The following is a 25,145-nucleotide window of genomic DNA, read 5'->3' as shown; positions in this document are numbered from 1 at the left end:
AGGTGGCCGGAACAGAGAGGAATATGCATACCAGGCTTAAAGACGGGTTAAATCAGAGCTTTTCATTCCACAAAAGAGCAATTTTAATGAGGTCAGAACATGGATGTTCTAATATTTGAAAGCCTGTTAACTAGGAGAGAGAGTAAAGTGATTTGTTGTAGGAGGACACACCCAGCTCTGACGGTTTAAAGCGTCATGAATGCAAATTTGAACTCCAGAAAAGCAGAGCTTCCTAACAATGGGACTTCCACAGCAATGGGATTTCCTTCCGCATTCAGTTTGTGCCTTTCCCATGAGCGAGAGACTCCTAGGAGAGCCGCAGCCCGTTAGGAAGCCATGTGGGAACTCATCCACAGGTTCTTTTTGTTTTTTTTGTTTTTTTTTTTTTTTTGAGATGTAGTTTTGCTCTTGTTGCCCAGGCTGGAGTGCAATGGTGTGACCTTGGCTCACTGCAACCTCCGCCTCCCAAGTTTAAGCCATTCTGCTGTCCCCGCCTCCTGAGTGGCTGGGATTACAGGCACCCACCACCATGCCTGACTAATTTTTTGTATTTTTAGAAGAGATGGGGTTTCACCATGTTGGCCAGGCTGCTCTTAAACTCCTGACCTCAAGCGATCCACCTGCTATGGCCTCCCAAAGCGCTGGGATTACAGGCGTGAGCCACTGTGCCTGGCCGGAACCCACAGGTTCTTTGGATGGTCTCTGAATGTCATGAAACTCTTTTATATTTAATTAAAAAAATTTTTTTGACACAAGGTCTTGCTGTGTTGCCCAGACTGGAGTGCGGTGTCACGATCACAGCTCACTGCAGCCCCTAACTCCTAGGCTCAAGCAATCCTCCTGCCACCTCAGTCTCTCAAGTTGTTGGAACACAGGTGCCAGCCACGACACCTGGCTAATTTTGTTTTGTTTTGTTTTGTTTTGTTTTAGAGATGGGCTCTTGCTATGTTGCCTATACTGGTCTTGAACTGCTGGCCTCAGGCAGTCTTCCTCCCTTGGCCACCCAAAGAGATGGGATTACAAGCATGAGCCACTGTGCACAGCTGAGATTTTTCGACTTAGTCTTTTTGTACACCCAGTATCTTATAGAATATCCATAATATAGATTCATAAATAAACCATTTCCTTCAATGGTATAAATAAATAAACCACTGCTATAAATGGTGGAATTTTCTGAGTTAAGAGCAATACATATGATACAAAACTTGATATATAGAGTTTCTTAGCCAAACTGGAGGGGCTGGCTTTAGGTGATCCGTGGACTCCCTGAAATTGGGGACACCATTGGAAATATGTGTGAACTCATGGGCAGTTTCCTATGATTTCCAGTCCTCAAAATATCTCTTGGACTCAAAGATGCCTTAGGGCAGAGGACGCGTGTACCCCCAGTACAGAATCTCGGACAGTGAATGTCAGTAGACACTCGGCAGAAAACCTCTGCCAAATTGAGTGCTCTGATGTGACTTTTTCATCAAGTCAATGTTCCTGGGATCTCTTGTACATGATAATCTCACTCTTGTAAGGTTTCATCGTTTCTGCTTACCCTACTTTTCTTTCCCATCCTGATCCCTCTCCCACCAGACTGGACTCTGAAACGGGCATGTACAGAGAAGAGGAGACCCCAACACGCTTCAAGCTTTGAGTGGAGAGGACACAGCCTCTGCTGGGACAGGGAACAGAGGGATGCGGAGACCCTGAAGATGCTTTTGGACAGTGGTCTGAGGTTGGGACAGTGGCAGGAGATACCATTCACCCAGGATCTCCAGGACAAGAGATCAGCCTGGCAGTTACATGTGTTTTTTTTCAAACTGGTTGCCAGGTTGGCATGAGCGATGACATCAGAGATTCCGACCTTCCTGATTGGAGGGACCGGACTCTGTCGGCACCTGGGAGTTCAGTTGGACAACAGTAACTTCTCAGAGCTGTTCTCCACTCCTGACTTCTCCCAGCCTCGAGAATTGATAACACACTCTTCTGGATCCCAGCAGTGTCCAGAAGAAGACCAAGGACAGAACAGAGACTAGGTTTGGTGAGATGGGACAGATTTTGGGAAAGATCATGATGAGCCATCAACCGCAGCCCCAGGAAGAGCGGAGCCCCCAGCGGAGCACCTCAGGGTACCCCCTCCAGGAGGTGGTGGATGATGAAGTGTCGGGACCATCAGGTGAGGGGACTGGAGGAAGAAGAGGTGGCATAGGATTGACTAAGATGAAGGAAGGGGGCCAGGCGTGGTGGCTCACCCCTGTAACCCCAACACTTTGGGAGGCTGAGGCGGGCAGATCACCTGAGGTCAGGAGTTCAAGACCAGCCTGGCCAACATGGTGAAACCCCATCTCTACTAAAAGTACAAAAATTAGCCAGGCGGTAGTGGTGTGTGCCTACAATCCCAGCTACTTGGGAGGCTAAGACAGGAGAATCACTTGAGCCTGGGAGGAAGAGGTTGCAGTGAGCCAAGATCGTGCTACTGCACTCCAGTCTGGGTGACAGAGTGAGATGCTATCTCAAAAAAAAAAAAAAAAAAAAAAAGAAGAAAAAAAAGAAGGGTCAGAGGTCAGGAAGGAGAACCTGGGGAGGGTGTGTGGGAAGAATGGAGAAATTCAGGCTGGGTGCAGTGGCTCACACTTGTAATCCCAGCACTTTGGGAAGCCAAGGCAGGCGGATCACTTGAGGCCAGGAGTTTGAGACCAGCCTGGCCAACATGGTGAAACCCTGTCTCTATTAAAAGTACAAAATGGAGCTGGGCATTATGGCAGGCACCTGTAATCCCAGCTACCTGAGAGGCTGAGGCAGGAGAATAACTGGAATCCGGGAGATGCATGTTGCAGTGAGCTGAGATTGCACCACTACACTCCAGCCTGGGTGACAAAGCAAGATTCTGTCTCGAAACAAAAAAAAAAAAAAAAAAAGAGGGACTCAGAGAGCCAGGGACCAGGGAAGGATATGAGGCAGTGTTCTGAGGACAGAGAGAGGGAAGAATGGGGAGGGGAAGGAGTGGCACATGGGGTTGAGCAGAGGAGAAAGTCAGAAAGGTGGCTTGGAGAAGCCAGCAGTCTGCGAGGCTGGGGAGGATGGAGAGTGGTTTGGGGTTTGGGGTCGGGGTCTAACGTGATCAGTTGCAGAAGCATTACACGGTGGCCTGGTTTCTTTACTCAGCCCCTGGGGTAGATCCCAGCCCCCCACGTAGGTCCCTTGGCTGGAAAAGGAAGAGGGAATGTTTGGATGAATCTGATGATGAGCCAGAGAAGGAGCTCGCCCCTGAGCCTGAGGAGACCTGGGTGGCGGAGACGCTGTGTGGCCTCAAGATGAAGGCGAAGCGACGGCGAGTGTCGCTCGTGCTCCCTGAGTACTACGAGGCCTTCAACAGGCTGCTTGGTAGGAGGACACCCCAGAGAGCACCTCCAATCCTGTTCTTTCTAAAGAGGAAACTTCCAATAACCACACTTTTCCAATGGGAAAAATATGCCCCAGTGGGTGAGCTCTCCATGCGGGAGGACTCTGAAGTGATCACTCATGAGGGACACTTAAGGAGACAACAGAGGATTAGGTAGACTTGATAAAGGTCGGTGCTTGGGATAAGAAAGCTTGGTTTTGGGCCAGGCGCTGTGGCTCCCGCCTGAGATCCCAGCACGTTGGGAGGCTGAGGCAAGAGGATTGCTTGAACTCAGGACTTTGAGGCTGCAGTGAGCTATGACTGCACCACTGCACTCCAGCCTGGGTGACAGAGCAAAACTCTGCGTCAAAAGAAAAACCAAGGCTGGGCACAGTAGCTCATCCCTGTAGTTCCAGCTACTCGGGAGGCTGAGACAGGAGAACTGCTTAAACCCAGGAGGCAGAGGTTGCAGTGAGCCAAGATCAGGCCAATGCATTCCAGCCTGGCCCACAGAGCAAGACTCTGTCTCAAAATAAATTAATAAATAAATAAAAATAAAAATCAAATAAAGAAAAACAAAATCAAAAATCAAAAAAGTGGTTTCAGCTGTGCCCTCTGAAACTTAATGTTTCTTACTGACTTTGCTAAACCTAAGTGTCTCCATCCATAGTGGGGGATCCCAAGGCCATGGTCACACCCTGATGTGTGACTGTCTCATGAGGAAATGATGGGAATTCCTTTATGACTCTGCAGTGGTCCCTCCGTGTCTGCTGGAGGGGGTCCTGGCTGATTCCCAGCTCTACATCCTGTAGATTCTCACACCCAGGGCCTCCTTCGGCCTCTTCTCAGGGGAGTCTCAGAGCAGGAGCCTCTCTCCCTTGCCCAGTGAAAGTCATTCTCCCCTCTCTCATCCACCTCACCCGCGGCCACAATCCTGAGACTTTCCCCCGGGAGGCACACTTCTCCTCGCTGCCCTGCTGCTCTCACGGAAACCCTGTCCTGCTTCTCACACTGACATCTGCTCTCTAATCACAGAGGATCCTGTCATTAAAAGACTCCTGGCCTGGGACAAAGATCTGAGGGTGTCGGACAAGGTAAGGTTGTTCTCTATGTAACTGTGTTCCTGTTCTAACGCACGGCCAGGGGGAGGGCGCAGCTTCCAAACCCACAGTTCTCCGTCCACCACCTCCCACCAGATGCTCCTACAGTTTTTTTTTGTTTTTGTTTTTGTTTTTTTTTGTGAGACACAGTCTTGCTCTGCTGCCCAGGCTGGAGGGCAGTGTCTCGATCTTGACTCACTGCAGCTGATGCCTCCTGGGTTCAAGCGATTCTCCCACCTCAGCCTCCAAGCAGCTGGGATTACAAACATGAACCACCACGCCTGGCTAATTTTTGTGTTTTTAGTAGAGACGGGGTTTTGCCATGTTGGCCAGATTGGTCCCGAACACCTGACCTCAGGTGATCCACCCGCCTTGGCCTCCCAAAGTGCTGAGATTACAGACGTCAGCACTGTGTCTGACCAGCTCCCATGGTCTTGAGTCTTGGCACCCACACATTTTTTTTTCTGAGACAGAGTCCAGCTCTGCTCCCCAGGATGGAGTACAGTGGCATGATCATAGCTCACTCTAATTCCTGGGCTCAAGCAATCCTCTTTCCTTAGCCTCCTGAGGAGCTGGGACTAGGCACATGCTACCATGCTCAACTAATTTTTGAAATCTTCTTAGAAACAGGGTCTCGCTGTGTTGCCCAGGTTGTTCTCCAACTGTTGGGCTCACATGATCCTCCTGTCTCCACCTCTCAAAAAGTACTGGGATCACAGGCTTGAGCTGCCACTCCCGGCTATTCTTTGTCTTTTTATGATTTGTCAGCATCTCCGTCAGGATTCTGCTGGTCTCTTGCAGAGTGAATGAGTGGCCCCTGCCTCTCCTATGGGTCCTTTGGGATCTGAGCCCTGGGCCACAGTCTGGCTGCAGCCCTGAAGCTCCTGGGCCCTCTACTCTCAGCTCCTTGGGACAGTTCTCTGCCTGGCACACAAAAGACCCTCCTGACACCAGCCGACCTAGACACACCCCCTCCAAAGATCCCATCGGAGCCCACCATCCTGGGAGCATCACCAAAAACCCTTCCTCCGGCTTCTCGGATTTGCATCCGACCTTCGAATACCCCTCCACCCCGCAATTTCCACATGAGCACAGTCACCCCAACACTGAGGTCCCTTCTCTGATGGGCAACCCCTCCCCAGACCCCCATTCCACTATATCCACAATCTTCCTCTCCCAAGATGTGACCTCTCCCTCTCTGTGTTCCTTTCTCTCCATCAGTATCTCCTGGCTATGGTCATAGCGTATTTCAGCCGGGCCGGCCTCCCCTCCTGGCAATACCAACGCATTCATTTCTTCCTGGCTCTGTGAGTGGTTTGCTGCCTCCTATCCATCAATATCCAATGCCCTGGGACAGCGGGGGAAGTGGGATTCCAGCCTTTCATTTATTCTTTCACCTATTTGTCCTCTTTACTCTGTGTACAAAAAAGACAGGATTATAGTCTCAAAAAAAAAAAAAAGAACAAAAAACAAAAGGAACCATGAACCGCTCCTAAGGGGAGAAGAAAAGGAGCGGAGGAGCGGACATGACACTTCCCCCAGCAAGCAGACGTTTCCGGTTGTTCTCTCTCCTTCCCACATCAACCGCAAAAGCCATCAGCCTCCTCCGGGTTCCCGTGACAGAGGTCACAGTCCAGGTCCCCCTTGCATCACTCGAATCCACTGTCAAATGCTCCCTGCTGGGGTTTCCTGGAGTCTCTCCCCAAGCCAGGGGGCTTCCTAGTGCAGCCTGAACATCTTTCCAAAGCACGACAACCTCACTGCCCACCTGAACAACTTCCTTAGCTGATGTCTTTCTCTATCGAGGCCAGGGTCCACAGTGCCAATTCCACCCTCTCTACAATCTCTACAACCACACTGGCTCGCCATCTTGGTGTTTCCTGGCTTGGCTTCACTGCTCCTTCCAAATGCCCTCCACTTGACTTTGCATTTGTGTTTTCTGTCTGGGTGTCCCGCACACATGTGGTTCTGAAGGGAAGGACCCATTCCTTGAAGTCGGTTCACCCCACAGCCTCTGTGATGCCTTCCCTCGTCTTCCAACTTCTGCATGCCCGTAGCTCTCCAGTTACATCCTATTATAATGTGACATTGGGATTAGGTCATCTCCCCTGATTACTCCCAGTCCCATTAGACTAGATGCCTGTAGAAGGCAGGGTCCTGGCAAAATATCAGTGTATTCAATTGCTTTTTTTTTTTTTTTGAGACAGACTTGCCCTGTCCCCTAAGCTGGAGTGCAGTGGTGAGATCATAGCTCACCGCAGCCTCCATATCCTGGGCTCAAGCGATCCTCCCACCTCAGCCTCTTGATTAGCTCCGACTACAGGGCTGTACCACCACACCTGGACAGTTATTTATTTATTTATTTATTTATCAAGACAAGAGTGTTGCTGTGTCTCTCAGGCTGGAATGGAGGGGCCCAATCTTGGCTCACTGCAACCTCCGCCTCCTGGGTTCACACAATTCTTATGCTTCAGCCTCCTGAGTAGCTAGGACTAATGGGTGTGCCACCGCACCAGGCTGATTTTTGTATTTTTAGTATAGATGGGGTTTCTCTGTGTTGACCAGGCTGGTCTCAAACTCCTGGTCTCAAGCAATCCACCTGCTTCAGCCTTCCAAAGCGCTGGGATTACAGGCATGAGCCACCACGTCTGGCGTATTTTTTATATTTTTAATAGAGACGAGGGTCTTGCTATGTTGCCCAGGCCTGTCTCAAACTCCTGGCCTCAAGTGATCCTCCTGCTTCGGCCTCCCAGTGTGCTGGGATTCCAGGCATAAGCCACCACTCTTGGTCACCAGTTGGGTTTTTGTCTCCATCCTGAAGGAGTGGGAGACGCCCTTGATCAGGTCTCTGTCCAGCAGAGCCCTCCTGAGGAAGGCGTGGCTCTCTGCAGGGTGGGTGCCAGTCCTGAGCTAGGGACGGTCCCTTACCTTCCTCTCTGAGAAGCTGACCTCAGCCGGAGGTCTCTCCTGGTGGTGCCCCTGAGCAGCAACCTGATTTCTGTCCTCAGCTATCTGGCCAATGACATGGAGGAGGACGACGAGGCCCCCAAACAAAACATCTTCTACTTCCTGTACGAGGAGACCCGCTCTCATATACCCTTGCTCAGTGAGCTTTGGTTCCAGTTATGCCGTTACATGAACCCGAGGGCCAGGAAGAACTGCTCTCAGATAGCCTTGTTCCGGAAGTATCGGTTCCACTTCTTTTGTTCCATGCGCTGCAGGGCTTGGGTTTCCCTGGAGGAGTTGGAAGAGGTGGGTGGGGCCTGGGGACGTGGAGGATGTGGGGAGGAATCGGGTGGGCTGGAGGCTGGACGAGGGGAGAGAGGGGTATCCTGGGGAGTCCCCGTCTTCTCAAAGCGCGTTTGTTTTTCCAGATCCAGGCTTATGACCCAGAGCACTGGGTGTGGGCGCGAGATCGCGCCCACCTTTCCTAGAGCTCCAGGGACCGTGGAGGCCTGAGGTCATCGGCCTGAGAGAAGGTACATCTGCATCCTCCGGGGTAAAGGCAGAATATTGGGGTCTATTTCGGAAATCCAAGGAACCCAATTGCTTGATCTGGCTTCAAGCCTGGGCAACGTGGCGAGATCCCCTCTCCACAAAAATACAAAAATTAGCCAGGCGATGTGGGAGGCATCTCTACTCCCAACTACTCAGGAGGCTGAGGCGGGAGGATCGCTGGAGCCTGGGAGGTCGGTGCTGCAGGGAGCCCTGATCCTGCCACTGCACTCCAGCCCGGGCGACAGAGTGAGACCCTGCCTCAAAAATAATCATAAATACTGAGTTCGGGGAGGTTCATTATGATTGATGCACTTGAGTTACCGATTTGGGTCGAGGGTTCAGTGAAGCTTTGGTTTACATCTTGTGCAGCTAACCATGTTGAGCACAGAGCATGAGACTTCGTCATGAGGAGGGAGGATTATGGATTAGGCTTCTGGACTCGTGGTTCGTGATGTTGTCACGTTAGAAACAGATCTAGCACGGTTACAAGTTTAGATCTGAAGTGACACAAAAGGCCCCAGCTGTGATGAAGTCCAAAGCCACATTCTCTGAGGGTGCCCTACTCCCTGGGAAGACCCACCCAAAGTCCTGGCTATGAAGCAGATCACTGGGGCTGACCTTGGGTGTATTAAGTTTTGGAGTCAGGGTCACCAAAGTGTGAGTTTCACAGTTGAACACGATGGTTCAGAAGCAGGGTATAGAATGAAAGGCAGGAGATAAAATTGCACTTCTCAATTGCTCTGAACTCTAGCTAGACTTGACATGGGACGTGAATAACCTTCCTGTCTAGAGAGCTGCCTCCTTGAAGTGTGACATTGTCTCTCTCACTTCCAGAACACCGGACCCAGGGGAGATGTGGATTTTCAGCAGGAACTTTATTCCAATGCTAATGGCAGACATCAGGAAGGAGGAGAGGAACCATTTGTGCAGATCATCTAGAAGAACCTGGACCATTCTTGACAGAGCTGAATACAGTGATCACGTTGTCCTCCAAGGAGCAGGGGTGGGGTGGGGTACTTCTAGGAGTCCTTGGAGAAAAGTAAGAAACCAGGAGTGTTTCCAGTTCCACCCTTTCCTGCGGCACCACCTCCCTTTTTATATTGCTGAATGCCAACCTCCCTGGGGCGGAACCTGGAGGTCCTGTTTCTTATGGACTTGGTTGTCACAGTCCAGGAGCATTTGAAGGCACAGTGCAGGGGCTCAGATTGGCACAGAATTCTTTGTGAAATATGAGTGCCACAGACTGTAACAGATAGCTTCATGCACACTATGCATTTTATTGGTTTGTTTGGAAAATGTTGGCCATTGAATTATTAATAGGTTTATTTCAAATAGTTTGGAAATTGTTGTACTTTTGAAAACATGCTGTTCCTGTAGAGTTTTTTGATGAGAGTTATAGTTGTTATATATACCTAAAGATAATTTTCTTTTCATTTTTAAGTGAGAATTCTTTTTATCCTAAATCTTTTATTATCTTTAATTTTTTTTCTGTATTATTATATGTGCTCCTGAAGCGAGCACTCTTTTTATCTATGATACTTCCATAATAATCTCTTCTATTTATAGCTATTGGTAGTTCCCCACCAGAAAAAAACATAATTCTGGTGATAGAAATTTTTATTTGCTGTTTAGGTTTGTGACTGACTTGTGAGAATTCAGTTGTGATTTTTAACATGTCTCAGATATATATACTAACACGTCTAATATATACTATCTATTTTATTGGTTTATTTTGAAAAACATGGGTATAGAATTATTTAAATATTATTTTATTTACTGAAATATTTATTAAATATATTTATTTATTTAAATATTATTATTACTTTAAATATTATTTTAAATATTTTGGAAATACTGGTATTTTTGAATAGATGCTGTTTCTATAAAGCTGTGTGATGGGTATTATAACTGTTGTATACACATACATATAATTTTGTTTTCCTTTTTAAGAGAGGATTCTTTTCATCCTAAATCTTTTACCTTTCAATCTTTGTATCTATTATTACACGTGCTGCTGAAGGGAGCATGGTTTTTATCTATGATACTTAGTTAACATATATATTACATTTATAGCTATGTGGTAGTTCCCCTAAATTCTTGTAAAAATAAATTTTTATTTGATATTTAGTGTATGTTTGAAATGTGAGAATTCAGATGGAATTTTTTATCTTGTTTTGGCATGTTTGTATGTTACTTTAAAGAGGATGTGTGTTCTAAAGGAGGACATGAGCTGTGTGTTTTCAAGAGAACAGTGCAGTGCATCTCTTGGGGAAACATAATAAAGATGAACTTTTCTCACCTTCACAGTGAGTGTGATCATATTGTGGTCTGGATTGATTATTTGCTGTCAAGTGACATTTTTCCTTAATGGGGTTGTGGTTATTTGAACATATTTATTAGCTTTGGAAGATAATCCTGTGCTGTTTTTTATGTAGAAAAAAACATACGGCTGGGTGCAGTGCTCACACCTACAATCCCAGCAGTTTTGGAGGTCATGGCGGGAGGATCACTTGAAGCCTATTTTTAATTTTTATTTTTTAAAGAAAAACAACAGAAGAGAAGGCTGATCCCAAGCTACAGGGTTTTTTTGTTTGTTTGTTTGTTTGTTTGTTTTGGAGACAGTCTCGCTCTGTCTCCCAGGCTGGAGTGCAGTGGCACAACCTCGGCTCCCTGCAACTTTCACCTCCGCGTTCAAGCAAATTCTCCTGCCTCAGCCTCCCAAGTAGCTGGGACTACAGGCATCCGCCTGTACGTCTGACTAACTTTTGTAAAAATAGTAGAGACAAGGTTTCACCATGTTGGCCAGGCTGGTCTCAAACTCCTGACCTCAAGTGATCCACCCGCCTCAGTCTCCCAAAGTGCTGGGATTATAGGCATGAGCTACTGTGCCCAGACCCCAAGCTAGAGTTTTAAAGCAGGAAATGAGAGAAAGATATTGAGAGAGGAAAACCAGGTGGTAAGAAAACTCTAAAGGTGGCTGGGCGTGGTGGCTCACGCCTGTGATCCCAGCAGGAGTTCGAGACCAGGCAGGAGAATCACTAGCAGAGAATATGTCTCCCCAACCCCTCTCAAAAAAAAAAAAAAAAGTCCAGGCGCGGTGGCTCAGGACTGTAATCCCAGCACTTTGGGAGGCTGAGGTGGGTGGATCATGAGGTCAGGAGATCAAGACCATCCTGGCTAATACGGTGAAACCCCATCTCTGCTAAAAATACAAAAAATTAGCTGGGCGCGGTGGCAGGCGCCTGTAGTCCCAGCTACTCCGGAGGCTGAGGCAGGAGAATGGTGTGAACCCAGGAGGCGGAGCCTGCAGTGAGCAGAGATCGCGCCACTGCACTCCAGCCTGGGTGAAAGCGCGAGACTCCATCACAAAAGAAAAAAAAAAAAAGAAAGTTCCTGCAACAGTTCAAGCTGTGAAAGACAGGCACTCTGCCATGCAATTCTTTGTGATTTTTCTTTTTTCTTTTTGGAGTCGGGGTCTTGTGCTGTCACCCAGACTGGGGTGCAGTGGTGCGGTCATAGCTCACTGTGGGCTCAGACTCAAGCTCAAGCAATCTTCTTATCTTGCCTTTCTAATTGCTGGGATTATAAGCATGAGCCACTGCACCTGGCCTGTGTGACGTAATTCTGATGTCAACTCCCTGATGTTACATCAAATGCCACAGGTTAAGGCCACCAGCCCCCGCTAGGCTGCCCTCGCTTCAGATGCAGCTGCAAGCTTGGGTGTCCACAGACCGCATGTACTTCTCACCAACTGGCTGCAAATTTGGAGGTTCCCACCACGTCCTCAGGTTTGATAATTCACCATAACAACCCACAGAACTCTGAAAAGCATGATACTTTCTCTTTCTTTATTTGAGACAGAGTCTTGCTCTGTCACCCAGGCTGGAGTGCAGTGGCCACCATGCTTGGCTAATTTTAGTATTTGTATTAGAGACAGGGTTTCGCCATGTTGGCCAGGCTGGTCTTGAACTCCTGACCTCAGGTGATCCACCCACCTTGGCCTCCCAAAGTGCTGGGATTACAGGCATAGCCACTGTGCCTGGCTGACTTCTAGAGTTTCAATAACAGAGATGTGGTTCAAGAAGAAAAGGGAGACATGTTTTGTAGACAGCAGGAGCTTCATGAAAAGAAGCCAATGAAGGGCAGGATGTGTAGCTGTCTACCTACAGGAAACCAGCCAGGAGCCTCCCCACAGGGACTTCAGCACAGATGGCCGGGAAAATCTGCATTCACCTGAGCTCTGGACCTAAGAGAGGACAAGGCCTTGACTGTTTCTACAGACTCACAAGATGCAATCTCTGCGGTCCATGCCCGTGGTGTGATCTGGGAAACAGGGGGCCTTCTAAATGCCAACAACAAGGAAATCAAATGTGCAACAGACAGAAATATCGGCATTGACACGGGCCATGGAGAGGCCTAAACAGATGACTGCAGTCCACTGCCAAGGTCATCAAAGGGGTGACTCTGAAATAAGAAATTTCAGACGCCACGGCCCAAATAGCTGCACGAGGTGGGGAAGTCCTCCACATGCCTCTGCTTCCTTCAGTACCTCTTCATGAAATAAGCCGAGGTACTTCCCTGGGGAATTTCCTTTCTCTTTCTTTCTTTCGAGACGGAGTCTTGCTCTGTCGCCCAGGCTAGAGTGCAGTGGCGCGATCTCGGCTCACTGCAACCTCTCCCTCCCGGGTTTTGGCAATTCTTCTGTCTCAGACTTCTGAGTAGCTGAGATTACAGGTGTGTGCCACCATGCCCAGCTAATATTGGTATTTTCACTCGAGACAGGGTTTCACCATCTAGGCCAGGCTGGTCTTGAACTCCTGACCTCATGATCCACCCATCTTGGCCTCCCAAAGTCCTGGGATTACAGGCACGAGCCACCACACCCAGACTTCTTTTTTTATTTTTTGAGATGAAGTTTCGCTCTTGTTGCCCAGGCTGGAGTGCAATGGCGAGATCTCAGCTCACTGCCACCTCCTCCTCCTCCCAGGTTCAAGTGATTATCCTGCCTCAGCCTCCCGAGTAGCTGGGATTACAGGCACCCAACACCAAACCCCGCTGACTTTTTGTATTTTTAGTAGAGATGGAATGTCACCATGTTGGCCAGGATGGTCTTGAACCCCTGACCTCTAATGATCTACCCGAATTGGTCTCCCAAAATGCTGGGATTACAGGCGTGAGCCACTGTGCCCAGCCCCTCCCATACCTCTTTTGGCCAAGGCAGTACAATTCAGAGAATCTTGCCAGGGAAGACTGGTAAATGGACATCAACATGATGCCTATGGCTCCTGGTGGATTTAGATACCTCCTGGTGCTTACTGATACCTTTACCAGTTACATGGGGGCTTTTCCATGCCAGACTGAAAATGCTGGAGATCACTGATCAACCTTCAACTATTTACTAGCAGAACACTGAGGGGACTCTGCAGTCACCAATATCTCCTATTGCACTTGGATAAACACCTCCCGGGAAATAGAGATGAATAGAAAGGAAATACTTAAACAAGCAGAATGGCTACATTCCTTCAACCAGAAGGGTCCATTAGTCTGTTTTCACACTGCTATAAAGAACTACTGGAAACTGGGGAATTTATGAAGAAAAGAGGTTTAATTGACTCACAGTTTTGCAGGCTGTACAGGAAGCATGGCTGGGGAGCCCTCAAGAAACTGACAATCACGGCAGAAGGCGAAGGGGAAGCAGGCACGTTTCTGGCCATGGTGGAGCAGGAGAGACAGAGAGAGTGAAGCAGGAGGTGCTGCATGCTTCTAAACAACCAGATCCCATGAGCGCTCACTCACTATCACGAGACCAGCAAGGGGGACGTCAGCCGCCATGAGCCAATCATCTCCCACCAGGTCCCTCCCTCAACACTGGGAATTGCAATTGGACATGAGATTTGGTTGGGGATACAGAGCTGAACCATATCAAGGGTAGTTCAACCACTGAGATTGATTGATTGACTGAGATGGGGTCCTGCTCTGTTACCTAGGCTGGAGTGCAGTGGCACAATCTCGGCTCACTGCAACCTCCGCCTCCCAGGTTCAAGCAATTCTCCTGCCTCAGCCTCCCTAGTAGCTGGGACTACAGCACACGCCACCACACCTGGCTAATTTTTGTATTTTCAGTAGAGACGGGGTTTCACCATGTTTGCCCGGCTGGTCTTGAACTCCTGACCTCGTGATCACCCTGCCTCGGCTCTTCTTTTGCTGGAATTACAGGCGTGAGCCACCGCACCCGGACAACCACTGAGATTTAGAAGGCAGTCGAGTCCACTATACCACACCTCACCTGGTTTCTTCCTCTGTTGGGGCCCCTCGTGGCCACTGTTCTGTTACTTTTTGGTCCTATTTATTTAAATGGATGGTGAGCTGTTTGTCCTCCAGGATCCAACACTTCCACCTTCAGCTTGTATTACAACAATACCAGCCTTTCAAGCTACTCCGGGTGACCCCAGAACTCATCTGAACTCAGAAGCCCAAGAGTTTCATTCCTCTCACTTTAGGGGACTAAGTGCCCCTGGTCAGCATGAAGTCGATACAGAAGCATGACCTCCATCCCTAATCCCTCAAGAATGAGGAGTGGAAGGTGTTGGCAGGAGGGTGGGACGCGGTTTGTAAATCTGTAACTGCATCAGACCAAATCTAGTTCAACTTTTTTTTTTTTTGATGGAGTTTCACTCTTGTCACCCAGGCTGGAGTGCAATGGCACGATCTCAGCTCACTGCAACCTCCACGTCCTAGGTTCAAGCATTCTGCTGCCTCAGCCTCTGGGGTAGCTGGGATTACAAGGGTGCGCCACCACGCCTGGCTAATATTTATATTTTTAGTAGAGACGGGGTTTCACCATTTTGGCCAGGCTGGTCTTGAACTCCTCGACCTCAGGTGATCCACCTGCCTTGGCCTCCCAAAGTGCTGGGATTACAGGCGTGAGTCACCGCACCCGAATCAGTTCAACTTTTATGTAATGAAGTTGTCAGTTGTTTTCCAATTGCCATCGACCTGCAGGTTGAAGGTCATGTACCCTGTGCATGCCCAGGTTAACCACGCGTGCCACCGTGGAGTGGAACCTAAGAGCTCAGCCTGAAGAGCTCGGACCGATTTAAGAACCAGACACCCCCAGGCAGGAGCCAGGATCCAATCAGATTGAGTTTTGGTGTCACCCCATGGCAGGATCCAGTCAGATCACACCTCCCAGCATTACTTTATTGCAAGATCCAATCAAATCACACCTCATTACCCTATGCTTATAAAACCTGACACAGCCCCCAGCTGTGTAAGGGAGATTTGAGTACTTCCTCCTGTGTTCTTGCTGGCTGACTTACAAAAAAGCTTTAAAAAAAAAAGCCAGGCGTGGTGGCTCACGCCTGTAATCCCAGCACTTTGGGAGGCTGAGGTGGGCAGATCACTTGAGGTCAGGGGTGCAAGACCAGCCTGGCCAACATGGTGAAACCCCATCTCTACTAAAAATACAAAAATTAGCTGGGTGTGGTGACACACACCTATAATCCCAGCTACTTGGGAGGCTGAGGTAGGAGAATCACTTGAACCCAGGAGGCGGAGGTTGCAGTGAGCCAAGATCACACCACTGCACTCCAGCCTGGGCGACAGAGTGAGAAGACTCCGTCTAAAAAAAAAAGTTAAAATTAGCACCAAACGCTTTACAAGTAAAAAAAGTTTTTAGCTGCATATGTTTAAGTAACTTTTTAGATTATAAGAAATACGCATGCAAAATGGAAAGGCACAAAGAAGAGAGCAAAAAGTGCATGAGATCTCACATCCAAGGATAACCGCTGAGAACATGGAAGTGCTGACTCTTCAGTCTTTATACTATACACATTTAGGCCTGTTTTGTTTTTATAAAACTGTAATCATATAATACAGACAGTTTTATAATCTGCTTTTTAAACACAACAATTATATAACATTTAGCTGTTTCATTTGCATTCAAATTCATAAGGGTTCCAGTAACTCATTTATCAGAAAACCAAGAGAAATATTCTCATAAAAATATAAGTACATAAGGTCAGGCATGGTGGCTCACGCCTGTAATCCCAGCACTTTGAGAGGCCGAGGTGGGCGGATCACCTGAGGGCAGGAATTCAAGACCAGCCTGGCCAGCCTGGACAACATGGTGGAACCCCGTCTCCACTGAAAATACAAAAATTAGCCGGGCGTGGTGGCGCGCGCCTGTAATGGTAGCTACTCAGAAGGCTGAAGCAGGAGAATCGCTTGAACTTGGCAGGTGGAGGTTGCAGTGAACTGAGATCGCGCCACTGCACTGCAGCCAGGGCGCCAAAGTGAGACTCCATCTCAAAAAAAGATAAAAATAAAAAATAAAAAAAATGTATATATATGTATATATATTTTTCCAGACAGGGTCTTACTCTGTCTCACAGTCTGAAGTGTAGTGACGCAATCATAGCTCACTGCAGTCTCAAGTTCCTGGGCTCAGGTGATCCTCCCACTTCAGCCTCCCAAGTAGCTGGAACTACAGGTGCATGCCACCATGCCCAGTCAATTTTTTTTTTAATTTTTCATAGAGACAGAGTCTCACTATGTTTCCCAGTCCTAATAAACATTATGTGATAAAAAGAAAAAAGTAAATCATCCTGAAGTTAAGTCTTTAATGAGAAATGCAAATAAAGCATTTCTCAATAAATTATGGGAAGAGAATCAACTGAAGAATAAACATCTTTAGTAAATCTTTTGCTCACGTGCATTAACCAATACTCTTGAAAACCAGGATTAATTTACTGTACCTTCTTAATATTCCTTTGAAATTCCTTATGGCGCACAGGTAGCGTAGAAAATAACTGCTTCACGCTGACTGTGGTCCCTCTGGGGTGGGGGTAGGGGGTTTTCTGGATGATTTTCCCATCGTGATCAAACACCAGTCGAGTCCCAACCTTCGCCGATACGTGGCAGGTAGAAATGGTGACATCACTGTGAGAGAATACCAGGCATGGTGTGTTCAGTGAGAGATCCATGATGTTGGGCACTGACTACTCTTTTCTTCACTTGCTTTTCTCTCAAAATTTTCTTAAAAAGCTGATGATCCCTCTGAGATAACCGAGATCTAAACGGTTGAGGAGTCATCACAAAATCTAAGGTCTGGCATCTAAAAGACAGTGAGACAGAGAGCACTAAACATGCTTTGTTTTGATAAAAGCTTTGACTTCATTTTTCAGGTTGAATTGCAAAACCATAAATGATCTCAAGATTTATTGATTCTCAAATAGAGATTTGTTTTGTTATTACTCTTCAAACAAAATTTTTTAAAAGAATTTTTTTAAAGAATTTTTTAAAATTTTTAAAATTTTTTTTAAAGAATCCAAAAGATATTATAATTAAAATGTATATGTAGGGCAGGGTGCGGTGGCTCGTGCCTGTAATTCCAGCACTTTGGGAGGCCAAGGAGGGCAGATCACTTGAGGCCTGGAGTTCCAGACCAGCCTGGGCAACATGGCAAAACCCCATCTCTACTAAAAATACAAAAATTAGCCAGGAGTGGTGGTGCACGCTATAGTCCCAGCTCTTCAGGAGGCTGAGTCACGAAAGTCACTTGAACCTGGGAGGCAGAGACTGCAGTGAGCTGAGACTGTGCCACTGCACTCCAGCCTGGGTGACAGAGTGCGACTCTGTCTAAAAAAAAAAAAAAATATATATATATATATATATATATATATGTATATATATGTATATATATATACGTATATATATATGTATATATATATGTATATATATGTATATATATATGTATATATATGTATATATATGTATATATGTATATATGTGTATATATATGTATATATGTATATATGTATATATATATGTATATATGTATATATGTATATATATGTATATATATATGTATATATGTATATATGTATATATATGTATATATATATGTGTATATATATATATGTATATATGTATATATGTATATATATGTATATATGTATATATATGTATATACATGTATATATATGTATATATATGTATATATATGTATATATATGTGTGTGTGCATGTAATTATTTATAAAAATTTAGTATCTGTGCTGTAATTAAATAGTGCTTTGGTGAAATGTTTCCCTAAAAATTGATAATGAAAACCAATGGTAACTATCATTTATTATCTATATGTTATGTTCAAATTGAGAAGTTACTGTTTTAATAAGGGTAACCAATTTTTTAAACAATACTATTTGCTTCATTTCATTCATTTATTGCTCACATTTCAGAAGTACTAGGACTTAGATTGGCAGTGAGACAAAACAGAATTCAGAAGCTAGAAGCTGAGATATTGAGATAGAAAATTGTAAATAATAATGATTCCAATTAATTTTCAGAGAGGTTTTTCTAAGGGGTCAAGTGAATGGATAAAAATATTTTCTCACCTCAGTGCACAAAGTGAGCTCAGAGCTTTCCCCCGAAAGCCAAAAGTTTCAACCCGAGTTAGGTCGGCAAACTCTCGAATCTTAGATGTGTGATGTTTCAGAGCTGAAAGAGACTGTAAAGTAAGGACTAAGATATCTCAAGTGCTATAACAACAAATATACATGATATCTAGTAACTGGCTTTAAAAAACTGTTTTTGTGTTTCCCAAGACAGTGTTACTCAAAATTCTAAGACATGTGGCCCAATTATTTTGTAATAGGATTAGAAAGTTAACTTACTTAAGCCTTCGAAGTTTTCTTCTTCTACCCCACATCCATTGCCTGAAACTTCAATGAGATCCATTCCATAGTCCTTAAGCTTTAGATCTAGAAAGTTTAAAATATTTATATATTTATTAAAAATGGACCCACGCTATCAGTTTTTATATTGATATTATTTATAACGTGCAAATTTAAGTGTCGTAACTATACCTTTAGTTAAACATACTAGTGTCATTTTGTATATTTCATTTTTATAAAGTTCTTTCTGGCCATTTACTAGCCCAGATTAAATAGTTTAGCATTTTCTTTCTTTCCTCTTTTTTTTTTTTTTTTCCTTACACTAGTCAAGTGAAGCAGTTGGAGTGGAGAAGGAACAAAAAAATCTGTAACTGGTTGTGATCAATTAGTTGTAAAGACCGTTGCACTTTGACCAGCCTTTTCCTTTGAAAGAAATAATTTTAACATACCCAGTAAGGAGAACGGGGGCCGGGCGCAGTGGTTCATGCCTGTAATCCCAGCACTTTGGGAGACCAAAGCGAGCGGATCACCTGAGGTCAGTAGTTCGAGACCAGCCTGACCAACGTAGAGAAACTCTATCTCTACTAAAAATACAAAATTAGCCAGGCGTGGTGGTGCATGCCTGTAATCCCAGCTACTTGTGAGGCTGAGGCAGGAGAATCGCTTGAACCTGGGAGGTGGAGGTTGCAGTGAGTTGAGATCGTGCCATTGCACCGCAGCCTCGGCAACAAGAGCAAAACTCTATCTCAAAAAAAAAAAAAAGAAAAAAAAACAGAACTGGTTCTGGAATCAGACTTCCTAGATTCTATTTTATTAGCTTTATAATCTCAAAAAAAGGAAATTTACTGTCCCTTAATTTCCTCAACTGTAAAATGGAGGTAATAAGTTCTATCTCATAAAGTTATTTGGCAGATTAATAATTTTTTTTTAATTTTGTCATTTTCTTTTTTTTCTTTCCTTTTTTTTTTTTTTTTTTAATTTTTTGAGATGGACTTTTGCTCTTGTCACCCAGGCTGGAATGCAGTGGCACAATCGATCTTGGCTCACTGCAACCTCCACCTCCCAGGTTTAAGCAATTCTCCTCCCTCAGCCTTCTGAGGAGCTGAGATTACAGCCATGCACCATCACATCTGGCTAATTTTTGTATTTTTAGTAGAGACAGGGTTTTACCACGTTGGTTAGGCTGGTCTTGAACTCCTGACCTCAAAGCATCAGCCCCCCTCAGCCTCCCAAAGTGCTGGGATTACAGATGTGAGCCACTACTCCAGGATTTATTTTATTTTATTTTATTTTATTTTTTTGAGACAGAGTCTTGCTCTGTCCCCAGGCTGGCGTGCAGTGGCACAATCTCGGTTCACTGCAACCTCCACCTCCCAAATTTAAACAATTCTCATTCCTGAGCCTCCCCAGTAGCTGGGATTACAGGCTTCTGCCACCAGGTCTGGCTAATTTTTGTATTTTTAGTAGAGACAGAGTTTCACCATTTTGGACAGGCTGGTCTCGAATTCCTGACCTCAGGTATCCACCCGCCTTGGCCTCCCAAAGTGCTGGGATTACAGGCGTGAGCCACCACACCCGGCCTGCTTTATTTTTTAATAGAGACGAGGTCTCCCCATGTTGGCCAGGTTGGTCTTGAACTCTTGGCTTCAAGCAATCCCCCCACCTCAGCCTCTCAAAGGGCTAGGATTACAGGCGTCAGACACCACGCCCAGCTATTCTGCAAATTAAATGAGATATTTCTGTGCAATTCTTAGCATAACACCTGCCTGGCACACCATAAGAACACAAGAAAAGCTGTCGTTATTATTATTACTACCTAGCTAAGTACTAGGCACATAATAGGTGCTAACTTTAACTTAAAAATAATAGTTTATTACTACATCAACACTTGATAGTCTTATTTCAATAACAAATGTTTCTTGACTACAACAACATTCACTGATCATTTCTTGTGGCTTAAAACTCTCCCAAACTTACCAATATTAGTGGCACCAGCATCCAGACTGTTTCCTACTATCTTCTTCACCGCAGTGCTTAGACTCAGTACCACCGGCCCAGAGCAAATCTGATGGACTGACTTCCGATCAATAGGTTTGATGGCCTTAGCAGGTTCTGTACTAAAGAAATCAGTTACAAGAAACAAAGCAGGTATTCAGCTATATATTTTCATCCTGATTTTAACTGTGGGAAATGACTCAACACTGCAAATAGTTTATGGGTCTAATCTATTCATTTATTATATTAACAAATACATTTATTATATCCAGAAATGGAAACATTGTTTTACAATCCTTAAACAAGTACCCAAAATACTTCTGGATAGACACTTCAAATTCAACACATCCTTACTATCTAGTATCCACATGGAGAAAACATACATTGTATCTCTCAAATTACCAAAATCTTTGGCAATAATGGTGTCTTCTTTCTTGAAAACTGAAAGCATGGCCGGTGCGGTGGCTCATGCCTGTAATCCCAGCAATTTGGGACACAGAGGCAGGTGGATCACTTGAGATCAGGAGTTTGAGACCAGCCTGGCCAACGTCGTGAAACCCTGTCTCTACCAAAAATACAAAAAATTAGCCAGGCATGGTGGTGGGCGCCTGTAATCCCAGCTACTTGGGAGGCTGAGGCAGAAGAATCACTTAAACCTGGGAGGCGGAGGTTGCAGTGAGCTGAGATTGCAGCATTGCACCCTAGGCTGGGCAATGAGCAAAAAAAAAAGTAAAAGCAACATAATTTCCCACATAATTAGAAAAACCAACAGTATGCTGGGAAATACACAATGTTTAAGTCAAAATCATCTCAGAAATTGGATACCAGTTATATAACTATTCCTTATACACAGTTGCCTTTGATACCCTACTCCAAATTGAAGCTGCCAGCTGCTGTCTTAGCAAAGACCCTCAAAGTTCTTGCTGTACTTGTTTTAAGAGGTTTTTTTTTTTTTTTTTTTTTTTTTTTTGAGACGGATTCTTGCTCTGTCGCCCTGTCGCCCAGGCTGGAGTGCAGTGGCACGATCTTAGCTCACTGCAAGCTCTGCCTCCCGGGTTCACACCATTCTCCTGCCTCAGCCTCCTGAGTGGCTGGGACTACAGGCGCCCACCACCATGCCCAGCTAATTTTTTGTATTTTTAGTAGAGACAGGGTTCCACCGTTTTAGCCAGGATGGTCTCGATCTCCTGACTTTGTGATCCGCCCGCCTCAGCCTCCCAAAGTGCTGGGATTACAGGCGTGAGCCACCATGCCCAGCCCACTTTAAGAGTTTTATAACGGTTTCATTTCCCCTTATTCCCTGCTCCAACCCATCCTCCACTCTATCACCAGAGCTATTTTTGAAATCACGAATCTGGTCAAATAATTTTTCTGCTTGAAAAATTACTAGTGCCCCACTTCCTACTATATGAAACTTAAAATCTAGTCATCACTGGGCCCCAAACTACCTTCTTTTCAGAATCTCTCTGATCCTTTCCCTTCATCAAGTCCCCTACATTATTATTATTATTATTATTATTATTATTATTATTATTATTATTATTATTATTTGAGACAGAGTCTCACCCTGTCACCTGGGCTAGAGTGCAATGGCATGATCTCGGCTCACTGCAACCTCCACCTCCCAAGTTCAAGTGATTCTCCTGTCTCAGCCTCCCAAGTTGCTGGGATTATAGGCATCCACCATTACACTCAGCTAATTTTTGTGTTTTTAGTAGAGATGGGGTTTCACCATGTTGGCCAGGCTGGTTTCTAACTCCTGACCTCAGGTGATCTGCCCGCCTTGGCCTTCCAAAGCACTAGGATTACAGGTGTGAGCCACCGCAACTGGCCGTCCCCTATATTGCAGCACAGTGAACAACTGTTTCCTGAACATCACAAGCTCTCTTAGACACTACAGTGTATAAGCAGGTCTCTGTCTAAACTGCTCTCCTCTTGCCCCTCTGCCCAACCAATGTCTGCTCATCCAAAGAATGTATCCCGTGTGTTCATTAACTTAGCAAGTTCCCAGTAAACAGTTTAATTGATCACTCGTTAAGAGAAGGCGGGAAACCTCCATGAAAAGAGAAATCAGTGGGTATTTCCTACAGCATTTAACACATCGTAGGCCTTCAATAAACCCTTGTGAAATAAACAAACCTCTTTACTCTTCATTCTATGTTGCTAAGAATCTCACCTAAGTCTGTCTACCATGTGAAACTGCAGATGACCTCACAGAAAATGGAAAGAAGTATCTCTAAAAATAAGTTTATTTGGCAACACACTACAGGCTACAGGTTCACTTCTGATTTTTTTTCTTTTTTTTTTTTGAGATGGAGTCTTGCTGTGTTTACCCAAGACATGTTTTAGACTGTAAATTGGAGGCTGAAAAACATCATAACATCACTTTTGCCCTACTCAATGACTATCCTGTTACTAAGGTTGGGCCAAAATTAAAGGGGGGGTCATAGGCCCCCACCTCTTTTTTTATTTTCAGACAGGGTCTCCCTCCGCTGTCCAGGCTGGAGTGCAGGGGCGCAATCATAGCTCACTGCAGCCTTGACCTCCCAGGCTCAAGCAATCCTCCTGCTTCAGCCTCCCAAGTAGCTGGGACATGGGCATGCATCATCACAGCTGGCTAATTAAAAACATTTTTTTGTTGAGACGGAGTCTCGCTCTGTTGTCCAGGCTGGAGTGGAGTGGTGCGCTCTCGGCTCACTGCAACCTCTGCCTCCTGGGTTCAAGCAATTCTCCTGCCTCAGCCTCCTGAGTACCTGGGATTACAGGTGCCCAACACCACACCTGGCTAATTTTTTGTATTTTAGTAGAGACAGGATTTCACCATGTTGCCCAGGCTGGTCTCAAACTCCTCAGCTCAGGCAACCCGCCTGCCTTGGCCTCCCAAAGTGCTAGGATTACAGGCATGAGTGACCATGCCCAGCCTAAAAACTTTTTTTTAAGGGATGGGATCTTGCTAGGCTGCCCAGGCTGGTCTTGAAGTCCTGGCCTCAAGCAATCCTCCCACCTTGGCCTCCCAAAGTTCTAGGATTACAGGCGTGAGCCACCATGCCTGGCTGATCCTCACCTATTTTTTTGTTGTTGTTTGAGACAGGGTCTATCTCCATCTCCTCGGCTGGAGTGCAGTGGCTTGATCATGGCTCACTCCAGCCTCAACCTCCTGGGCTCAAGCAATGCTACCACTTCAGCCTCCCGAGTGGCTGCGACTACAGGTGTGCACCACCACACCCTGCTAATTTGTGTATTTTTTGTAGAGATGAGGTCTTGCTATGTTGCCCAGGCTAGTTTCAAACTCCTGGCCTCAGTCAATCCTCCCACCTTGGCCTCCCAAAGTGCTGGGATTATAGGTGTGAGCCACCACCTCTGGCCAGCTCCCACCTGTTGATCAAAGGAGCATCAAAGAATTTGCAGCCTCCAGAAGGAGGTCATTTCCTGCCTCTGAGTCTCAGTTTCCACATCTATGAAATAAAGTTAATGATCCTTCACTCCAGGGTTGTCGTGAAGGCTAAATTAAGTTGTATTTGGAAAAATATGTGGGGCACAGTAGGTGTGTTTCTCACACCCAGAGTCAGAGTGTTTAGCAGAGGGTTAGTAGTTGCCTCCAGGGCATGAAGGGCTCTTCCTGACCCTAAGTGTGAGGAACGCTTTGGGTTAAAAGATTGTACTTTTCTGCGTTCAGCTGAAAGGTGGAGGGCTCAGTGAGGTGGCTCACACCTGTAATTCCAATGCTTTGGGAGGCCGAGGTGGGAGGATCACTTGAGCCCAGGAGTTTGAGAGCAGCTTAAACAACACAGTAAGACCTTGTTTCTACACACACACACACACACACACACACACACACATTAGCCAGGCGTGGTGGCATGCGCCTGTAGTTCCAGCTACTTGGGAGGCTGAGGTGGGTGGATTGCTTGAGGCAAGGAGTTTGAGACAAGCCTGGTCAACACAGTGACACCCCATCATCCCCCAAAATCATTTTTCTTTGTTTTAAGGCAGAGCCTCACTCTATTGCCCAGGCTGGAGTGCAGTGGTGTGATCTCACCTCCTTGCAACCTCTGCCTCCCGGGTTCAAGCGATTCTTGTGTCTCAGCCTCCTGAGTAGCTAGGATTACAGGTGTGCACCACCATGCCTGGCTAATTTTTGTATTTTTAGCGGAGATGGGGTTTTGCCGTGTTGGTCAGGCTGGTCTTCAACTCCTGGCCTCAAGTGATCCGTCTGCCTTGGCCTCCCAAAGTGCTGGGATTACAGGTGTGAGCCACTGTGCCCAGCCACAATAAATCATTTTTAAAAGGTTAAATTTAACCTCATTTAAGTAATACATGTAAGTCTCATCGAATATTTGAAGCCAGTTTGTGAGGTAAAGTCTATTATTATGTGCATTTTAATTCTTAGCGTTTAATTAAAGCCTCATAAGTACAAATAAAAACAGGACTTGCTATAACAGGTTGCCACCTATTTTCTTTAAAGATGACGAGCAGCATCTTATTTGCGTTAACACAAGTCATCCACATA

General features: G+C 45.8%; 1 protein-coding gene and 1 pseudogene across 1 annotated transcript; one reads left to right on the top strand and one right to left on the bottom strand.

Annotated features, from left to right (window-relative positions):
- Positions 1-234: 234 nt before the first annotated feature.
- On the top strand, positions 235-10,284 carry SPDYE11 (speedy/RINGO cell cycle regulator family member E11). Its single transcript, NM_001351349.3, has 8 exons — positions 235-356; positions 1,582-2,164; positions 3,154-3,372; positions 4,406-4,464; positions 5,692-5,777; positions 7,479-7,722; positions 7,845-7,949; positions 8,803-10,284. The coding sequence occupies exons 2-7, from the start codon at positions 2,035-2,037 to the stop codon at positions 7,902-7,904; spliced, it is 798 nt and encodes a 265-aa protein (NP_001338278.1). The 5' UTR covers positions 235-356; positions 1,582-2,034; the 3' UTR covers positions 7,905-7,949; positions 8,803-10,284.
- On the bottom strand, positions 17,342-20,773 carry PMS2P8 (PMS1 homolog 2, mismatch repair system component pseudogene 8; annotated as a pseudogene).

Source organism: Homo sapiens, chromosome 7 (assembly GCF_000001405.40).
Source record: "Homo sapiens chromosome 7, GRCh38.p14 Primary Assembly".
Classification (NCBI taxonomy): domain Eukaryota; kingdom Metazoa; phylum Chordata; class Mammalia; order Primates; family Hominidae; genus Homo; species Homo sapiens.
Note: the sequence above shows the minus strand (reverse complement) of the source record. Positions and strands in the feature narration are given on the sequence as shown.